Source organism: Homo sapiens, chromosome 1 (genome assembly GCF_000001405.40).
Source record: "Homo sapiens chromosome 1, GRCh38.p14 Primary Assembly".
Classification (NCBI taxonomy): Eukaryota; Metazoa; Chordata; class Mammalia; order Primates; family Hominidae; genus Homo; species Homo sapiens.
Genome location: NC_000001.11, coordinates 58,633,474 through 58,652,931, shown reverse-complemented (window position 1 = coordinate 58,652,931; position 19,458 = coordinate 58,633,474). Strand labels below are relative to the sequence as shown.

Genomic DNA, 19,458 nt, shown 5'->3' with positions numbered 1-19,458 from the left:
CTATTAGAAGTGCTATAATTAGTGAGACTTTATTCGCTTTATTGGCATTATCTAAGAGTAACAAACCCAAATCCTCGATGTTTGCATGCATGTCCACAAAGCCATGTTCTTCAATAATTGTAATGAAAATGTTAATGCTTACGGCCACTAGAGGGTGCTCTGTCACAGTGTGTCAGCACTACCATCTCAGCCCAGTACTGTTGGCTAGCCTAAGAGGCAGAAAAGACTGCACGTGTAGCTGAATTTGTAAGCACTAACACATTCACTTTTCTAGTTTCTTGACATAGTATGATCTAGGGATGAGTTTCCTTGTTTCATAGTATCCAGGTTAACTATCTTCACTTTTGTTTATAATAGTAACAGCCATCTATTATACATAGATACAGTGCTAAAAATGCTTTACATAACAGTGTCACATTTAGTTTCCACAACAACCTTGCAAGAAGAATCTTACTACCCCCATTTTAAACTTAGCCATAGAGTGTTTAAGTCACTTGCCCAACGTCATGCAGCCAGAAGTGGCAGAGAGAATTCAGATTCATATATAATTCTAAAGCCAGCTCATTAAGCTATTACGTTATTGATTTCAGAGCTGGAAGAAACTTAAGGAACAATTTAGTTTAGTCTCCTCACTTTGAGATGGGAGAACTGATACCCAAGTCCAAGTCACAGACCCAGTCAAAGCCAGATTGGGAAGTCAAAGTGTGTGCATTCCTTATCCTGTGATCTTGGGTCACGCCTCATGGCAATTCTTGCCTTCTCTGAGCAACAAAAGAAATCCTGTGCTCGTAGGTCCTGTGTCATGCTTTACCCAAACATGGTAGATGATATACCAAGGGATTGTCTTTGTTACCCAGACAACAGAAGGAATGGACCTTATGGATAGAAATTTTGCTCTGACATGGTTCTCTATTCTCTATTTCATAAGAGCCTCTTGCATTGTCACAGGTAATTAATCTTCCTGCTTCCAACAGGTCCCCCTCCATCCTCTACACTGAAGCCGAGGGATTTTTTTTTTTCTTCACGAAGCATAAATCTGAGCACATCATTTCTGTGCTTAAAGCTTTTTTTTTTTTTTTTTTTTTTTTGAGATGGAGTCTTGCTCTATTACCCAGGCTGGAGTGCATTAGTGTGATCTTGGCTCACCACAACCTCCGCCTCCCAGGTTCAAGCCATTCTCCTGCTTCAGCCTCCTGAGTAGCGGGGATTACAGCCGTGTGCCACCATGCCCAGTTAATTTTTGTATTTTGAGTAGAGATGGGGTTTTACCATGTTGGCCAGGCTGGTCTTGAACCCCTGACCTCGTGATCCACCCGCCTTGGACTCCCAAAGTGCTGGGATTACAGGTGTGAGCCACCGTGCCCCGCTGCTAAAAGCTTTTTAATGGCTTGGCGAGTTTTCTGCACCACTCCTGACGCGGAAGCGCAGAAGACCCTTACTTACGATGCACCCCTCTCTAGCCTAACCTCCTGCCACTCCTGCCTTCAAATACAAATACACACACACACACACACACACACACACTCCTGCCTCTGCTTTTTGCCCTAGCCACTCAACCCATTTCAACTGCCCATCTTGGATTAGACAAATCCAAAATGGGCAGCTTCACCCCTGCAGGCTCACCCCTTTCCCCATGCTTGAACAACACCCTTCCTGGTCCCAACCTTCTTCAAATTCAGCTCAAACATCACTTCCACCTGGAAGCCTGCCTGCCTTGAGTCTTCATTCACTCCAGATGGGGTTGATTGGGCCCCTCTCACACCCTGTTCTTATCTCGGCCCCAGTCACACTGCCTTCTGCTTGTCTCTTTTCTTTCCTACTACTTCTATGAGACGGAGCTTCTGAAGGGCTTGGACCCTGCCTTCTCACACTTCATATCCCCAATGCCTAGTATAATACCTAGCATAGATTAGGAAGGCACTTAATTGATGGCAGCTTGATGAATGGATAAATAATTGAATAAGTGAAAGAAAGCAAAAAGAAAGAATGGAAGGCAGATTCTTGGGGAAAAATCAGTTCTATGACAATCAGTTGCTGGATTTCCTGTGAGGAGTAGAAAACAACTGAGACAAAGCTGTTTGTTCTGAAAAACAAGCCCCAGAGTCTAGGTGGGAGCTGAGAGCCCCGGAGAAGCCACATCTCTTCATTATCTTAAGTGCAATGAGCACTTCAAGAGACATGAATCAACTGATTAGCAAGGGCAGCCTACTCCAGGAGAGGTATTCTCTTGCAATTTTCTCAAAAACACAAAGGCAGGTGAGATTATAACACTATAAACATAATTGCATTTTCTAATCAAAAGTGCAACATAACTTGGGTAATTATGAGGCGTCAGCGGTGTTACCACTTTATATCCTGAGTATTTTTATCACTACGAGTTGGGTAGCAACTGCTCAAACATTTTCATCCATCACCTTGTGTTCTCTTCTGTGGGGTTCATACATGGAAAACAAAATGAAAAAAAAAACCAAAAAACAGAAAAAACAGGCAAAAGGGTAGAATCCATTTAAAGATGACTAAGGTGCCTTAGTCATGCTGGATTTGAGGTCCAGCAGTGGGATGGGTTCTGCATTTTCTGGGCAAGTGATTTTTCTGTCAGGCAAACAGGACTAGGTGCATCATCCACAGCCCTGCCTGAGGGGAGCCAGGAGAGACAGGTCCAGCTCCAGCCCACACCCAGGACCTTTCTCCACTTTGAAAGATGCCTGTGAATTGCACTTCCGTTTCACCCAGGAAATCAATGCAGCCCAGCTTCTCTGCCCAGGGCCCAGCGGAGGAAGATATATCATACTCTGGGCAGACCCAGAATGCAGTTAGTTACCGTCTCCTCCTTAGGAGGGAGAACAACAATAGAACCAAAATAGCAATGCTAAAAAGCAGACATTTGGAGGGCTTGGGGGCCTTTTGTTGCTGCAAAAGGAGAAGGAAAGGATTTTGCCATGTCCCTGGGGTTTACGCGTTCAAGAGCCCTCCCTCCTGATCCAGGGACCTGGGACAGGCTGTGGGACCTGCAGGGCTCTATGTGGCATGAAGTTCCTTCTGGTTTTGTAGAGAGACAGGGCTGTACAATAGGAGCCCTGGATTTCTGGTCAAAAGCTTTCTTGGTGAAATAGATCTGGACAGGAAGAGAAGAGAGAAAAGGCACTCTAGGCAGAAGGTGCCCCGGAAGCGGTGGCACAGTGCCAAGAATTGTAGATTTCCGTGAGGCTGGTGTGCATCGTGTGTGGCTAGGAGTCGGGGACCACAGAAGGGGATGTGGACATGGGGTCAGGTCCCCCAGGGTGTCCAATGCTATTTTAGAGAGGGGTGCTTTCATGTTCCTCATGGAAAGAGATTCAGGCAATCAACAGCCAACATCTTCAAATCCTAAAATGAAAAGGTTTCTCTAAGCCAGTAGTATTCAGACTTTTATTTAGTTAGAAATCGCTGTTGAAAACAAATCTTGCATTAAAACCAAGCATATAAAACAAGTAATAACCAAAAAATAGAAAAAACCCAACTGGATATCAACTGATAAATGGATAAATTAAACATGGTCTACCCATACAATGGAATTATTATTCAGCCACAAAGAGAAATAAAGCACTGACATATATTACAACATTAATGAGCCTTGAAAACATTATGCTTAGTGAAGAAGTCAGACATAAATGACCACATTTTGTATTATTCCATTTCTAGAAAATGTCCAGAATAAGCAAATCATAGATAGAAAAAGTAGATTAGAAGTTGCCAGAGTCTCAGGTGGGAAGAAGGGATTGGGGAGTGACTGCTAATGGATACAGGATGTCTTTTTGGGGTGATGACATGTTCTGGAATTAGTGGTGATGGTGACGGTTGTACAACCTTGTGAATATACTAAAAACCACTCCGGATACTAAAAACCACACTTAAAAGTGGTGAACTTGATGATCTATGAGTTACATCTAGAAAGAGAGAGAGACGGAGGGAGAGAGGGAAGGAAGGAAGGAACCAAGCAGAGCCGATTTGGCTGAAGGGAGGAGGCACTGGGAAGTACAGTGGCCCTTATGGTTGGCCCTGTTTATTTCCAATGTCTGCCCAATCTCTCACCCAAGTTTTAAGCTTGGCTTCCAGATCCCTGGGGAGCCAAGTAGGAGAAAAGATATAGACACCTCAAAATTGAGCATGTAAACTTTCACCTAATCCTCCAATTTTTCCCCACTCCAGAAAGGTTCTGCTTCACTTTCTCCAGAGACTGACCAGGCAGCGACTACCCTCTTGGGGGTGAGATGGTCAGTAGCCTGCTAAGGAAGCAGGAAGCCACTAAGGGATAACTACATCTTAAACCCACTTTCTCTCTCTCTCTCTCTCTCTCTCTCTCTCTCTCTCTCTGTGTGTGTGTGTGTGTGTGTGTGTGTGTGTGTGTGTGTGTGTGTGTGTGTGTGTTTGAGACAGTCTCACTGTGCCACCCAGGCTGGAGTGCAGTGGTGTGATTTCGGCTCACTGCAACCTCCATCTCCCAGGTTCAAGCGATTCTCCTGCCTCAGCCTCCTGAGTAGCTGGGATTACAGGCATTCACCACCACGCCTGGCTAATTTTTCTATTTTTAGTAGAGATGGGGTTTCAACATGTTGGCCAGGCTGGTCTCCAACTCCTGACCTCAAGTGATCCTCCCCCGGCAGCCTCCCAAAGTGCTGGGATTACAGGCGTGAGCCACCGTGCCTAGCCTTAAACCCACAACCCACCTTCTACCAGCTATCATCATTCTAGCCCCACTGGCATCCCCAATTCCAGATGTCCCTGGTGCTACAAATTCTTGAGCTTTGGGGGTTCCACAAGGTAAATCAGGTCACTTCTTGAGGGTCTGCTTCTCCCACTCTCCAGACCTGCTAAGTCAGACCCCATGCATTGATTCATTATTGTCACGTCTCTCAAAACAAAGCCCCCCTACTACCTTGCTGTGCTTGAGTGATGTTTCAGGAGGGCATGGGATTTCATTGTGTGTGACCAATCCATTAACCCAAATCCAGCATGCTTTTCTATAGTTTCTACATTCCCTTTGATTAGCATATATTATTATTATTTTTTAAGAGACAGGGTCTCACTCTGTTGCCCAGGCTGCAGTGCAGTGGTGTCACCATAGTTCACCACAGTCTTGAACTCCTGGGCTCAAGCGGTCCTCCCACCTCAACCTCCCAAGTAGCAGCGACTAAAGGCGTGCACCACCATTCCTGGCTAATTTTTAATTTTTTTGTAGGACAGGATGTCACTATGTGGCCCAGACTGGTCTTGAATTCCTAAAGTGATCATCTTGCCTCAGCATCCCAAAGTGTTGAGATTATAGGCATCAGCCACTGTGCCTGGCCACATTATTTTTATAATCAGAAAAGAAAAAGCAATGAGAGGGAGACAGATAGAGATTTTGGAGGTGGACTGGAAAGACCCTGGATCCTGCCTGCAAGCAGGAGCGACAGCCAGGCAGGAATTGACAAGACTCAGAGAGATGGGAGATGAGGTGCCATTAGCAGAGATGTGGAGTCAGATTCCAGAAACAGGCCAGGGGGTGATCAGCCAGAGTGGAAGTTGCTCTGCTCTTGGGGGAAGGGATTCGTCTTCAAGCCATGAACACAGGGCACGTGGGGAAAGACCAACTTTCCAGAGTGTCCAAGTGGGCATGCAGTATAACTGAGGGCCTGACCCAATGACCAAATGCCCGCTGGCCTTGAAAACTGGAACCACTTGGCACCTTTCACCCTCCTACTCAGACTCAGCCCTTCTGGATATTCTGGGATCCATTTTGACTTTAGTAGGGAAGGAGTGAGACATAGAACATCTTGGGCTCTGGAGTCTTTAGTATCTAGTCATCCCAGCCGCAGATTCCTCTAAAACAGGGGTTCTCCCAAACCCCAGGCTGTGGACTGGTACCAGTCCGTGGCCTGTTAGGAGCTGGGCTACACAGCAGGAAGTGAGCAGCGGTGAGCATTACTGCCTGAGTTCCACCTCCTATCACATCAGTGGTGGCATCAGATTCTCAGGAGCGCATTGTGAAGTATGCATGCAAGGTTGTGCACTCCTTATGAGAATCTAATGCCTGATGATCTAAGGTAGAACAGTTTCAACCCAAAACCGTCCCCTAATCCCCGGTCCATGGAAAAATTACCTTCCACGAAACCAGTCCTTAGTGCCAAAAAGGTTGGGGACTGTTCTAGAACTCCCACCCCAATCCTAATAACCATCTGGTGGATAAGGCCCCACCTAAACCCCAATTCTAGCACCTGTCTACCAAACACATCTCTAAGTCCACATGTTGTTTCCTGCCCCTGGGGCCTCCCACCAGGACCTGAAATCTAAGCCAGAACCCAAGCTCTTCCCTGTGACCTGTTGCCAATCCTCTCTAACAGGCCTTGTCAAGTTTCTCCAGAGCCCTGCGCATCCAGAGCCAAAGTCCTGCTTTATCCAGGCACATTCATGATCAACAAAGGCAGTTAGAATAGCCAACATCATCTTCACTTCACCCTGGAAGACCTGGGGGGATGACTCAGGGGTAAGAGAAGGAAACATTTCTTACTGGAGACGACTGCTCCAGAATTACTCCTAAATGAATTTCAACCTGAAGGTTAAGCCCAGATCTGACCTGTCTTTCTGGAGCTCTCTGGAGCACATAAAAGCCTGATGATTTCTTCCTTATGTCAATAGATATAGTTTTCTGTCACCGATTTAGATCTGATTTAGGGAAGGCATAGTCTAGAGCTTGCTGAGCTGGTTTTGCAATGTAGATTCTGAGAAGAGATTGAATATCAGCCATAATAAATAAGATTGCATTTTCTCTAATCATATTTGTTTTGTTTTGTTTTGTTTTTTGAGACAGGGTCTCCCTCTGTCACTCAGGCTGGAGTACAGTGGCACAATCACGGCTCACTGCAGCCTCAACCTCCTGGACTCAAGGGATCCTCCTGCCTTAGCTCCCCAAGTAGCTGGGACTACAGGCATATGCCACTATGCCTGACTAATTTTTGCACTTTCTGTAGAGATGGGGTTTTGCCATGTTGCCCAGGCTGGTCTCGAACTCCTGGGCTGAAGCGATCTTCCTGTCTCGGCCTTTCAGAGTGCTGGGATTACAGGTGTGAGCCACTGTGTCCCACCTATATTGGTTCTGTATGAATAATTAATAAAGCACTTTTATAATGTTAAAGTGATGAGGGACTAGGGAGTCCTGAGTCTAGTGGGAGAAACAGAGAAGACATGTAAGAAAGACACCTTCTTGGCCATTGTTATTCTTATGGTATTTACGTCAGGATTGCCCAGGTTTAATCCACCTCTGCGACTGCTAGATGTGTGACCTTGGGAAATCTTTCAGTTTCTCAGTTTCTTCATATGTATACGGGGTCACTAATAGTACCTAACTTGCAAGGTTGTTGCAAGGATTAAATGAGTTCATACATGGAAATATATAGAACAGTGCCTGGAATGGAGCAAGTACTCAATAAATGTTAGCTACTATTAGTGTTGCATTTATTATTATTATTACTAGTGGTGTTGTTTATATTCTTATTTATATATTTATTTATTTATTTATTATTTTTCAGAGATAGAGTCTTACTCTGTCACCCAGGCTGGAGTGCAGTGGCGTGATCTCGGTTCACTGCAACCTCTACCTCCTGGATTCAAGCAATTCTCATGCCTCAGCCTCCCAAGTAGCTGGAATTACAGGCCCGTGCCACCATCCCTGGCTAATTTTTGTATTTTTAGTAGATTCAGGGTTTTGCCATGTTGGCCAGGCTGGTCTTGAATTCCTGACCTCAAGTGATCTGCCTGCCTTGGCCTCCCAAAGTTCTGGGATTACAGGCGTGAGCCACCGCGCCCGGCCACTCTTCTTATTTGGATATCATATCAGCAAAGTTTCAGTGTGGGAAATAGAAACCATGTAAATATTTTATACAAGAGGGGATTTAACACAGGAAATTGGATGCTTATAAAACTGTTGGAAAGGGGTGCAGCTCTGGGTTCTACTCAAGGCTGCCAGAAATGACCACCAGATGATTCTTACTGTCCAACTGAGGGAACTAGAACCTCTGAGGCCACAATTAGGGCCTGCTAGAATTAAGAATTTACCACTGCTGCAGTGACCACTACTATTTCTGCTGCCTCTGAACACTGGGAAGCTGTGGCTCTGACCACCCAGGGATCAGGAAGCCAAGCAAGCAGCCCTTGCCACCAGTGAATGAAGGGGCCCTACAAAGCAGTTCTCCAGAAAATTCACATCTCCACAGTCCCACTTGCTAGCGTCCCCCTCGCTGCCCTTTTACATCTCCTGAACATCTAAATGGCAGAACCCAATCAGCATGCAGAACTCTGATATTCTGGGACTTGAAATGGTTAGTTTTCTAACCATTCCAGCTAGAGGAAGGACCTGGAATACAGGTGGAGAGTCGATCCACACAGTCCAAAGGAGGCAGCTGCATGCGAAGGTCCTGCTAGGTGGAAGGCGTACCCTCTATAGACAGAGGACAGTAGAGTACCTGAAGGAGGAATCGTTCCTGATTTAGGTTCTCTGGGGAAGGGAAGGGTGTCTTAGATCAGATAACAACAGACAGGGGGCTCTAATAGCTGTCTTGGCCTTCACCGTGAAGTTGGGCCTATGTTGTGAGTAGAAATATATCACTTAAGAATATACTGGAGAATATTCTTATAATACTTGCCTTTCAAGCAATGCACAAAAATCAGAAGCCACAAGGGAAAAATATTTTTCCCTTCATGGTAAAAAAAAATTAAACAATTAAAATCCATAATACATAAAGAACCCCTTAAAGACAACAAGATTGAAACATTCAATGGCAGCAGGTCACCTACATGCTTTTCCATAGACTGGTGTGTTGTACGTGCTCTATCTTCTGTCAAGAGCATTTCCACTCTAGCCTACCTGGAAACCCTCTATTAATATCTTAACCCTCTTAGTAATGTATCTTCTTGATGCGTTGCCTGATTTTCTCTCTGTGGTGGATACTGAGGTGCATGGCCAGATTGTCCTTCAGGGTCAGGGGGCCAGTCTCTCCAGCTGCCAAGGCAGCTGAGTCTTGTACCTCTACAGAAAGAAGCTGGTATCCAATGATTAGTTATCCAATGACTGGTAACTATAGGAGTACAAATACCTGGAGTCCTTGCCTCAATAGGACAACTCAGTAGAGACATGCCAGCTCCAGAGATGCTCATGGGATTGGCGATGGCCTCTGTTCAGCTTTTCCTGTGTCCAAACAATCCTGCCTCCCTCACCCCAGACAAGTGTTGTTGCCAAGAGTACTTCCCAAAAAACTCTTGCAAATCTCACCAGAGTATCAGAGTCTGTCTGGGAACCTGAACTATGAAACTCTACTGTTGATGGTTTATAGATTTTTTCCATAGTGATATGTGTCAATTTGTTTCATTCATCTTAATGGCATCCCATTATATAAACATACTACAGTTTAGTTATTCTTCCCTTTCGATGAAAATGTAGGTCATTTCCAATATTTGTGATGTCACAAACTGTGCTGCTGTTAATACGTTTTTGCATCTCTCCATGAGCATGTGTGTGAGTTTCTCTGAGATGTATACCTAGAGATGGAACTGCGAAGCCAAAAGGTATCTGCAACTCCAAGTTTACCAAGATTGCCAAATTTCTCTTTGAAGTTGTATTATTCATAGACACTCCTGTTACCCTTGCATCAGAATGTCACTTGGTATCGTCAGACTTTTAAATGCTTGCCAGTCTGATGGGAGGGAAATGGTATTAGATTATTGTTTTAATTCTAACTTCTTGGGTGATTGGGGAGCTTGGGCATCTTTTCATTTTTGTGGAGGGTGATGGTGTATTCCTCTCCTGGGAATTGTTCATTTTTCTTGCTCATTATATTAGGTTGTTTGGCTTTTCTCATAGATTTGCAGCAGTTTTTTATATTTGAGTTACAGATCTTTGGTTGTTCATATGCATTACAAAATTATCTCCCTGTCTGCAGCTTCTCTGTTAATTTTCTCAGACTTTATTTTACATATATAACTTTTAAATTTTGAGAAAGCTGAAAATATTTTTATTATTTATATTATGACATATGGGATTTTAGGTGGGAAGGTCTAATTTCCTATACTAAGGCCCATAATGTTATTTTTATGTATTATTTTTTCCCCATGTGTGTACTAATTGTCTCATTTCATTTGTTGAATAGCCTATCCTTTTTTCACTGATTTTTAATGCCACCTCTAGCAAGTGTCAAATTCCAATAGATGCCTGGCTGTTTGGGGCTCACTATTCTGTTCCCTTAGTCTGTCAATTTCTGTGACAATTCCTTACCACTTTAGTTTCTAGAGCTTTATGATAAGTCCTGATAGGTGATGCAGCAAGTTCTCCTCCTTTTTTTTTTTTTCAAACTTGTCTTTGCTAATATTGGCCCTCTAATAAATCATGTTAATTTTAGAATCAGCTTGACAAGTCTCACCTGAAACCTGCAGCCCAAAGTGAGAACTTCCATCCCTGTGTGCCCACTCTCTCCCGATTTGTTCTTTCTGAATAATGTCCTCTTACCAATCAAATGTTGACTTTTCCAAAACTACCTACAGGCTGCCCAGCTCTCATGCTGTGCCTGTAAAGACACCAGACTCAGCCAGTAGAGAGAAGCAGCTAGACATCAGGAAGAACCAGCTAGGCATCCCCTAAGGGGAATGGGGCAAAGGGAATGGAGGTGCTTTATAAAATGAGTCTAATGTCCATAGAAGGACATTCAAATACATACTCTAATGTAGATGGGCCTTGTGAAGCAAAGGACAGGCACGTGCTCCCACACATATAGTGAGAACCTCTCATTCTAACTTACTTGGAACATGGAGCAAAGTAGATCAGGAATGGAGAGTAGGGATGTGGAGGTGGCAGTCTTAGGAGGCAAAACTCCCTGGTGTCATAGAGTCTCAATACTTGTGCAGAACACTATAAACCTTGTCTAGTGGGAAGTAGACAAGGGGGCAACATAGAGGGAGGCTTAGAGAAATAAGGATGAGGCCCATATTTAAAAGGCAAGAAATACATGTGTGGTTTGGTTCACTTAGACCTTCAGGGAATCTGGGAAAACATTGCTACCCACTTATACACTGCCTCACACGTGAGAGCTTCTCTCCAGGGAAAGAAATTGAGGAAAGGGACTTGGTTTATGTCTTGTGGAAGATAACAGATATAGGTGATTCTCATTATTCACAGTACTTCCATTCTATAAAATCACTATGAACACAGAATTATGAAAATTTGCTCCTACAGGATATACAGAATTAGGCTCCTGTGAGCCTCTAGTCACAAAATTTTTCTCAGTCTATCAATACATAACCTAATCTTATGTGTGTTTTTGTTTAAAGGCACCTTATTTAATATATATTGTTAATTCATTAACATTAAACTCATGGTCAACAACAATATAACTCATGCTTTCACGAAACATATTTAACATGCATATTTTTTCCATAAGGCACATCACAGCCTTCTTGTATTTAGGAACACTAGGCAGCACTTCAGCCTCTATTTGGGGGTCACTTTAAACAGCAAAATCAACAGAAATCATAAAAATACAAAAAGCATGGCACTCAAGACTTCATCTCTATTTATGTGTTGTTTGCTCTGTCTGGCATTTTATCCCTGCTCTGTCTTCCTGACTGACTCAGTTATCATCAACTTCTCCAACAAGTTTCCCCTGACTTCCCATTTCCCAGCACAGGACTAAGCCCCAGCAACATTGGACTTGTTGCCACTGCTTACTTCTTAAATATGAAATTGGTTTTTTTTCCCTTTTTCGCAAAAGGGGGTGCTCCTTGAGGGCTGAAATGGCTCATCTCTATCTCCAGGGTCTAGCACAGCATCTGTCATATAGTAAATGCATAGTAAATGTTGGATGGATGGATGGATGGATGGATGGATGGATGGATGGATGGATGGATGGATACATGAATGAATGGATATATGGATGGATGGATACATGGATGGATTGATGGGTGATCTGTTTAGGATACCATGGCCAGCAGATGGAGTGACAAGGACCCAAAGGCAAGCCTTCTTTCCATACTCTTAATTCTGGATCACCTAGCTTTAAAATCAGTTCTCCAGCCTCCCTAGTTTACCAAATTACACCTGCCATTGCAGGCTGCTACAGGTAATAGCTACATGCCCTAAAGCCCCAGTTGCTCAGATGGAAGGCTCCATGCCCAGTGAGTACAGGAGGTAATTTGTCAAGTAGGCTTTTTGTGTCCTGGACTGTATGTTGCAGACCCAGCTAATGAAATCTTCATTGCAATTAGAGAAAATATTCCTGCAGCAGGTTGAAGAGATAATCACTGTCTAATTGCATTTTCTCCAGTATTTTAACCCAATGGTTTAGAAAAATAATTTTGAAATGTAGTTTTTATAATTACCTTTTCCAAGGGATCTGTTCGGTATTATAATCATCATCATCTAACAGTTTTGAGAGCTTACAATGGGTATGCTGTATTCTGAAGGCTTTGTATGCATTACCTCCTTTAGTTATCACAAAACCCCCATGAGGTAGGTCCTGTTATTTACCTTATTCTATAGGTGAGGATACTGAGGCTCAAATGGATTAAGAAACTTGCTCACCCCTGGGAATGGGGCTGAACTAGAACTCTATCTCAGACCTGTCTGCTATCAAGGAGCATGATTTTATCCACTTGTCTCTGCTGCCTCCACAATTTTCAAAGGATTCATTTATTCAATCAATTTAACAATTTTCTTATTGTTAATTAGTGTCAGGCACTATTTTAGGTGCTGGGGATACAATAGAGAATAAAATAAAGTCCCTGTTTGCACGGAGCATACATTCTGAAGACAGGAAAACAGATAACGAATAAACTAATAAATATATCATGTATCAGGTACTGGAAAGTGCTATGAACAAAGGTAGAGAGTATGACAGACAGCACTATTTAAAGAGTAGATATACAGGCTGGGTGCGGTGGCTCATGCCTGTAATCCCAGCATTTTGGGAGGTCGAGGCAGGCAGATCAGGTCAGGAGTTCGAGACCAGCCTGGCCAACATGGTGAAACCCTGTGTCTACCAAAAATACAAAGATTAGCCGGGCCTGTAAAATACAAAAATACAAAGAGTGCATGCCTGTAATCCCAGCTACTCTGGAGGCTGGGGCAGGAGAATTGCATGAACCTGGGAGGCGGAGGTTGCAGTGAGCTGAGATCACGCCACGGCACTCCAGCCTGGGTGGCAGAGTGAGACTCCGGCTCAAAAAAAAGAAAAAAAAAAAAGAATAGATATATAGCTATGTAACTAAATATCTCAGACTAGGTACCTTGGAGACACGCTCTGAGCCTGAGATTGCATGCAGGTTTATTGGGAGGTGCTCTCGGGATATTTAACTCTAAGGAAGTGAAGAGAGCAGGATTGGACAGAGGGAGAAGCTGAACTGCAATATAATTGCAACTGAGCCCTCAGCCCATCCTACAGTGGCCCCTGCAGTTGAGAGGAACCTTCAGAGCTGTCCAAATTGAGGCAGAAACGGCAGGGTCTTTATATCCGGGCATCAGCCAGGTGGTGATCCCTCGCCGTTGCTGGGAGAGAGTGAGACAGCTCCCTCTGGCCAAAGGCAGTGCCCAGTAAGGAACACGTTTTGAAGTCTTTGGAGTTGTTTCTGGATGGTGGATAGTCCCTGTCAAGCCTTTATTGTAGAGTTGTTAGCTAGTGCCAAAGAATTAACTGTCTAAGCCTCCACTCTCCATCTTTACATGCTAGAATAATAATACCTCTGTCAAAAGGGTTGCTAGGAGGGTCAGAATGATAAAATGTTGACAAATGACCCTAGAGAAAAATAAAGGAGATAAATGAATTAAGGAAATATGTACTGCAGAATAGTACAGATCATGTATGGAAAAAAATGATCTTAACCTGAAGTGATGTGGAAAGACAAGACATATGAGAAAAATGAAGAATACAACACTATGTACCCTATGATGGCATTTATCTTTAAAAGAGATCTATTTGTATCTATATAAAAAGATAAATGGAAAGACATAAACCAGTGTTGACTATGGGTGCAGGAGTTAGCTGGGGGGCTGGGAGAGGCAGGCAGAGCTGGAGTAGAGGTAGGGTTGGAACTAGGCTTGTCGGACGGGAGAAGATGGGCATAGAAGGGGTTGCAGCAGATGTGAGCAGTGCATGGCAGTACAGAAAACAAGTTTGGGCAGGACTTCAGAGATAATTTGCTATCCAGGCTTGCTTGTGTTCTGGAGTCAGCATACATGAGTTCAGACCCCTCCTCCACCACTAAATATATAATAGCTCCATTTAGTGGAGCAGCTTGGGCAAGTCAATGTCTCTGAATCCCAGTTTCTTTATCGTTTAAATGGGGCATGATAATACTCACTTTAAAGACCTGCTGTCAAGATTAGATATGATTGCTTCTGACACATGTTCACAGGGGACACTGTCATTAGCCCTAAGGGGCCACTTGGCATTTCTTCCCCTTCTCAACAAGGAGCAAGGAGTCAGAAGAACAGCTTCCCTGGCTCAACATAAACACTCCAGGATGAATCAACTCTCCAAATGAGCAAGATTTCTGTATGCTTCCACATAGATAGAGGAGCAGTCGATTCACCTAGAACTCCTGGTAAAACAGTGGTTCACTTAGTTTTTCAACATTTTTCATTATAAAAAGTCAAAAAATAACAGATGCTGGCAACGTTGTAGGGAAAAAGAACAGTTAATACACTGTTGGTGAGAGTATAAATTAGTTCAGCCATTGTGGAAGACAGTGTGGCAATTATTCAAAGACCTAAAGACAGAACCATTTGACCAAGCAATCCCATTACTGGATATATATCCAAAGGAATATAAATCATTCTGTTTTAAAGACACATGCACACATATATTCATTGAAGCACTATTCACAATAGCAAAGATGTAGATCAACCTAAATGCCCATCAGTGATAGACTAGATAAAGAAAATGTATATATACATGATGGAATACTACGCAGCTATAAAAAAGAATGAGATCATGTCCTTTGCAGGGACATGGATGGAGCTGGAGGCCATTATCCTTAGCAAATTATCACAGGAACAGAAAACCAAATACCACATGTTCTTACTTACAAGTGGAAGCAAAATGATAAGAACACATGGAAACATAGAGGGGAACAACACACATTGGGGCCTTTCAAAGAGTGGGAGAAGGGCAAGGATCAGGAAAAATAACCAATTGGCACAAGGCTTAATACCTGGGTGATGAAATAGTCTTTACAACAAACCCCCATGACACAAAACCTGCATTAGTACCCCTGAACTTAAAAGTTAAAAAAATTTTTTCATCAATTTATACATACACATAGCTTAAAAAAAAATGTCATGAGACTTATAATGAAACCCAGTTTCACACTCTAAAGGAAACCTCAGTTCACTCCTTGAGCTGTCTCACCAGTTATCTCATATTTCTAAACAAATGTGCTTCTTTTAATATTTCCTATTTTGTCAAAATTAGATGTCATCTATTATATTTCTGTGATAATCCATGCCTTTAGCATTCTTACACAATCTCCCATCCCCCACCTGCCCCATATCATTTGTTAAATTTAATTGGAAATTAGGGTTTATATTATAATGACTATGTAAATATAGTTATTCAATTTTGCTCAGACTGCTCATCAGATCTGCCATCTACCTATGCTTTGATTATTGTTTTCCAAAACTCTCATATCAGACTCTATTTGTCTCATTACCTTCTCTTTTTGTTTCAACATGGAGACATCTCTCCAGGAGCTCTGTCCACCTGCTATAGACGAGGCAGGCTGCTCTCTATGCCTATTGCACAGATGCCATTTGGGGAATTCTCTTTATTACCCTCCTGGGTAGCATCCTCTATTGCCTGGATTTCATGTCTTTTTCTTTCCCTAGTTTTGCTGGAGTATACCCTTTAAAAAGAAGATGGGACTGTGTGTTAGTCCTTTTTCATACTGCTGATAAATACATCCCCAAGACTGGGAAGACAAAGAGGTTTAATTGGACTTACAGTTCCACATGGCTAGGGAGGCCTCAGAATCATGGCAGGAGGCAACAGGCACTTCTTACATGGTGGTGGCAAGAGAAAATGAGAAGGATGCAAAAGTGGAAACCCCTGATAAAAACCATCAGATCTCGTGAGACTTATTCACTACCACGAGAATAGTATGGAGTAAACCACCATCAGGATTTAAATTATCTCCCACTGGGTCCCTCCCACAACACATGGGAATTATGGGAGTACAATTTAAGATGAGATTTGGGTGGGGACACAGAGCCAAACCATATCACTCCACCCCTGGCCCCTCCAAATCTCATGTCCTCACATTTCAAAACCAATCATACCTTCCAAACAGTCCCCCAAAGTCTTAACTCATTTTAGCATTAACCCACAAGTCCACAGTCCAAAGCCTCATCTGAGACAAGGCAAGTCCCTTCTGCCTATGAGCCTGTAAAATCAAAAGCAAGCTAGTTACTTCCTAGATACAATGGGGTACAGGTATTGGGTAAATACAGCCATTCCAAAGGGGAGAAATTGGCCAAAACAAAGGGGTTATAGGGCCCATGCAAGTCCGAAATTCAGAGGAGCAGTCAAATTTTAATGCTCCAAAATGATCTCCTTTGATTCCATGTCTCACATCCAGGTCACGCTGATGCAAGAGGTAGGTTCCCATAGTCTTGGGGCAGTTCCACCCTTGTGGCTTTGCAGGGTATAGCCCCCTTCTGTCTGCTTTCATGGGCTGGCATTGAGTGTCTGTGGCTTTCCCAGGTGCATGGTGCAAGCTGTTGGTGGATCTACCTTTCTGGGGTCTGGAGGACGGTGATCCTCTTCTCACAAGTCTACTAGGCAGTGCCCCAGTAGGGACTCTGTGTGGGGCTCTGAACCCATATTTCCCTTCAGCACTGCCCTAGCAGATTTTCTCCATGAGGGCCTCACCCCTGCAGCAAACTTTTGCCTGGGCATCCAGGCATTTCCACACATCTTCTGAAATCTAGGCAGAGGTTCCCAAACCTCAATTGTTGACTTCTGTGCACTCTCAGGCTCAACACCATGTGGAAGCTGCCAAGGTTTGTGGCTTGCACTCTCTGAAGTCATAGCCTGAGCTGTACATTTGCCCCTTTCAGCCATGGCTGGAGCATCTGGGACACAGTGCACCAAGCCCTTAGACTGCACACAGCAGGGGGACCCTGGGCCCGGCCCACAAAACCACTTTTTCCTCCTGGGCCTCCAGACCTGTGATGGGAGGGGCTGCCGTGAAGGTCTCTGACATGGCCTGGTGACATTTTCCCCATGGTCTTGGGGATTAACATTAGGCTCCTTGCTACTTATGCAAGTTTCTGTAGCTGACTTGTATTTCTCCCCAGAGAATGGGGTTTTCTTTTCTATTGCATAGTCAGGCTGCAAATTTTCCAAACTTTTATGCTCTGCTTCCCTTATAAAACTAGATGCCTTTAACAGCACCCAAGTCACCTCTTGAATGCTTTGATGCTTAGAAATTTCTTCCACCAGATACTCTAAATCATCTCTCTCAAGTTCAAAGTTCCACAAATCTCTAGGGCAGGGGCAAAATGCCGCCAGTCTCTTTACTAAAACATAACAAGAGTCACCTTCCCAACTGGTTCCTCATCTCTATCTGAGACCACCTCAGCCTGGACCTTCTTATTCATATTGCTATCAGCATTTTGGGTAAAGCCACTCAACAAGTCTCTAGGAAGTTCCAAACTTTCCCACACTTTCCTGTCTTCTTCTGAGTCCTTCAAACTGTTCTAATCTCTGCCTGTTACCCAGTTCCAAAATCACTTCCACATTTTTGGGTATCTTTTCAGCAATGCCCCACTCTACCAGTACCAATTTACTGTATTAGTCCATTTTCATGCTGCTGATAAAGACATGCCCGAGACTGGGAAGATAAAGAGGTTTAATTGGACTTACAGTTCCACGTGGCTGGGGAGGCCTCAGAATCATGGCAGGAGGCAAAAGGCACTTCTTACATGGTGAAGGCAAGAGAAAATGAGAAGGATGCAAAAGCGGAAACTCTTGATAAAACCATCAGATCTTGTGAGAATTATTCACTACCAGGAGAACAGTATGGGGGAAACTGCCCCCATGATTCAAATTATCTCCCACCGGTCCCTCACACAACACATGGGAATTATGGGAGTACAATTCCAGATGAGACTTGGGTGGGGACACAGAGCCAAACCATATCATTGTGTGTGTGTGTGTGTGTGTGCGTGTGTGTGTGTGTGTGTGTGTGTGTTTTCTGTTTGAATTATCCTCTGGATTTCATATATGTTTGCAATTGGCCAATAGCAACATTGCTTTCTTCTTGGTAATGTACTTCACACTCCTGAAGTCAAACAGTTATAACCAAAGTGTTACATAGTAATTTATTTATTTATCAAATATGATTGGAACCAAGGCCCTGTACAAGATTCTGAAATAAATAAGGGAGAGTCTCTGTTCTCAAAATTTTTATTGTTGCTGGGAAAAAAATATGTAAACAGGAATTGATATAATGTGGTCAATGTTATAGTGAAAACTTTATAAGATAATGAAAGAGCACCAAAAAAAGGACTTAACTCAGCTTGAGGAGCTCATAGAAGACTTCCTAGAATTGTGACGGCCTAAGTTGGGCCTAAAGAATGAAACTGCTTATTTATTTATATATTATCTTGTTACAACATGAATCTAAGATATGTTGCAAAATGCTTATCACATAAGAAAATCTTTTCAGGGCCAGCAGCTGTGCCTAGATCTTCCTAATCTTCTGAGTGTCAATACTTTCTCCAGTGACTTGAACCGAGCCTGGCATATAGTTGGCTCTTTAATACATAGTTATTGAATGAATGAAGGTCAGATGTGGTATTATAAATCAGTGGGGGAAAACATTAATAAATGGTCCTAGGACAGTGTATTATTCATACACATACAAGTAAATAAACAAAATTAATTCTCTACTTTACCTCATTTGTAAAAATAAATTACAAATAGAGTAAAGAAAATAACCTATAAAACTTTTTGAAGACAATATATTTATGAGATTAGAGTAGGAAAAGATTACTAAAATAGGACATAATGCATAAATCATAAAGATTGATAAAATAAAACTATCAAATGCAAAATTTGGTACAAGACACCAAAGATACTTGTCTTAGTCCATTTTTTGTTACTATAACAGAATACCTGACACTGGGTAATTTTTAATGAACAAAAATTTATTTAGCTCACAGTTTGGGAGGCTGGGAAGTCCAGGAGCATAGTGCCAGCATCTGGCAAGGGTCATCCCATGGTAGAAGGGCAGAAGGTACAAGTGAGCACAAAGGACAGAGAGAGAGGCACCAGGGGCCAGACTCGCTTTATAACAACCCAGTCTCATGATAACTAACCTGGTCCCACGATGACAACATTAAACCATTTATGACCAAATCACCTCTTATTAGGTCCTACCTCCCAGCACTGTGGCATT

General features: G+C 43.1%; 1 annotated feature.

The window, feature by feature from the left end:
- Window positions 1–295: an enhancer, noted in NCBI's record as "tiled region #3519; K562 Activating DNase unmatched - State 12:CtcfO". NCBI's record gives its function as "activates a minimal TATA promoter and a strong SV40 promoter by Sharpr-MPRA in K562 cells {active_cell/tissue: K562}" and the evidence as "EXISTENCE:reporter gene assay evidence [ECO:0000049][PMID:27701403]".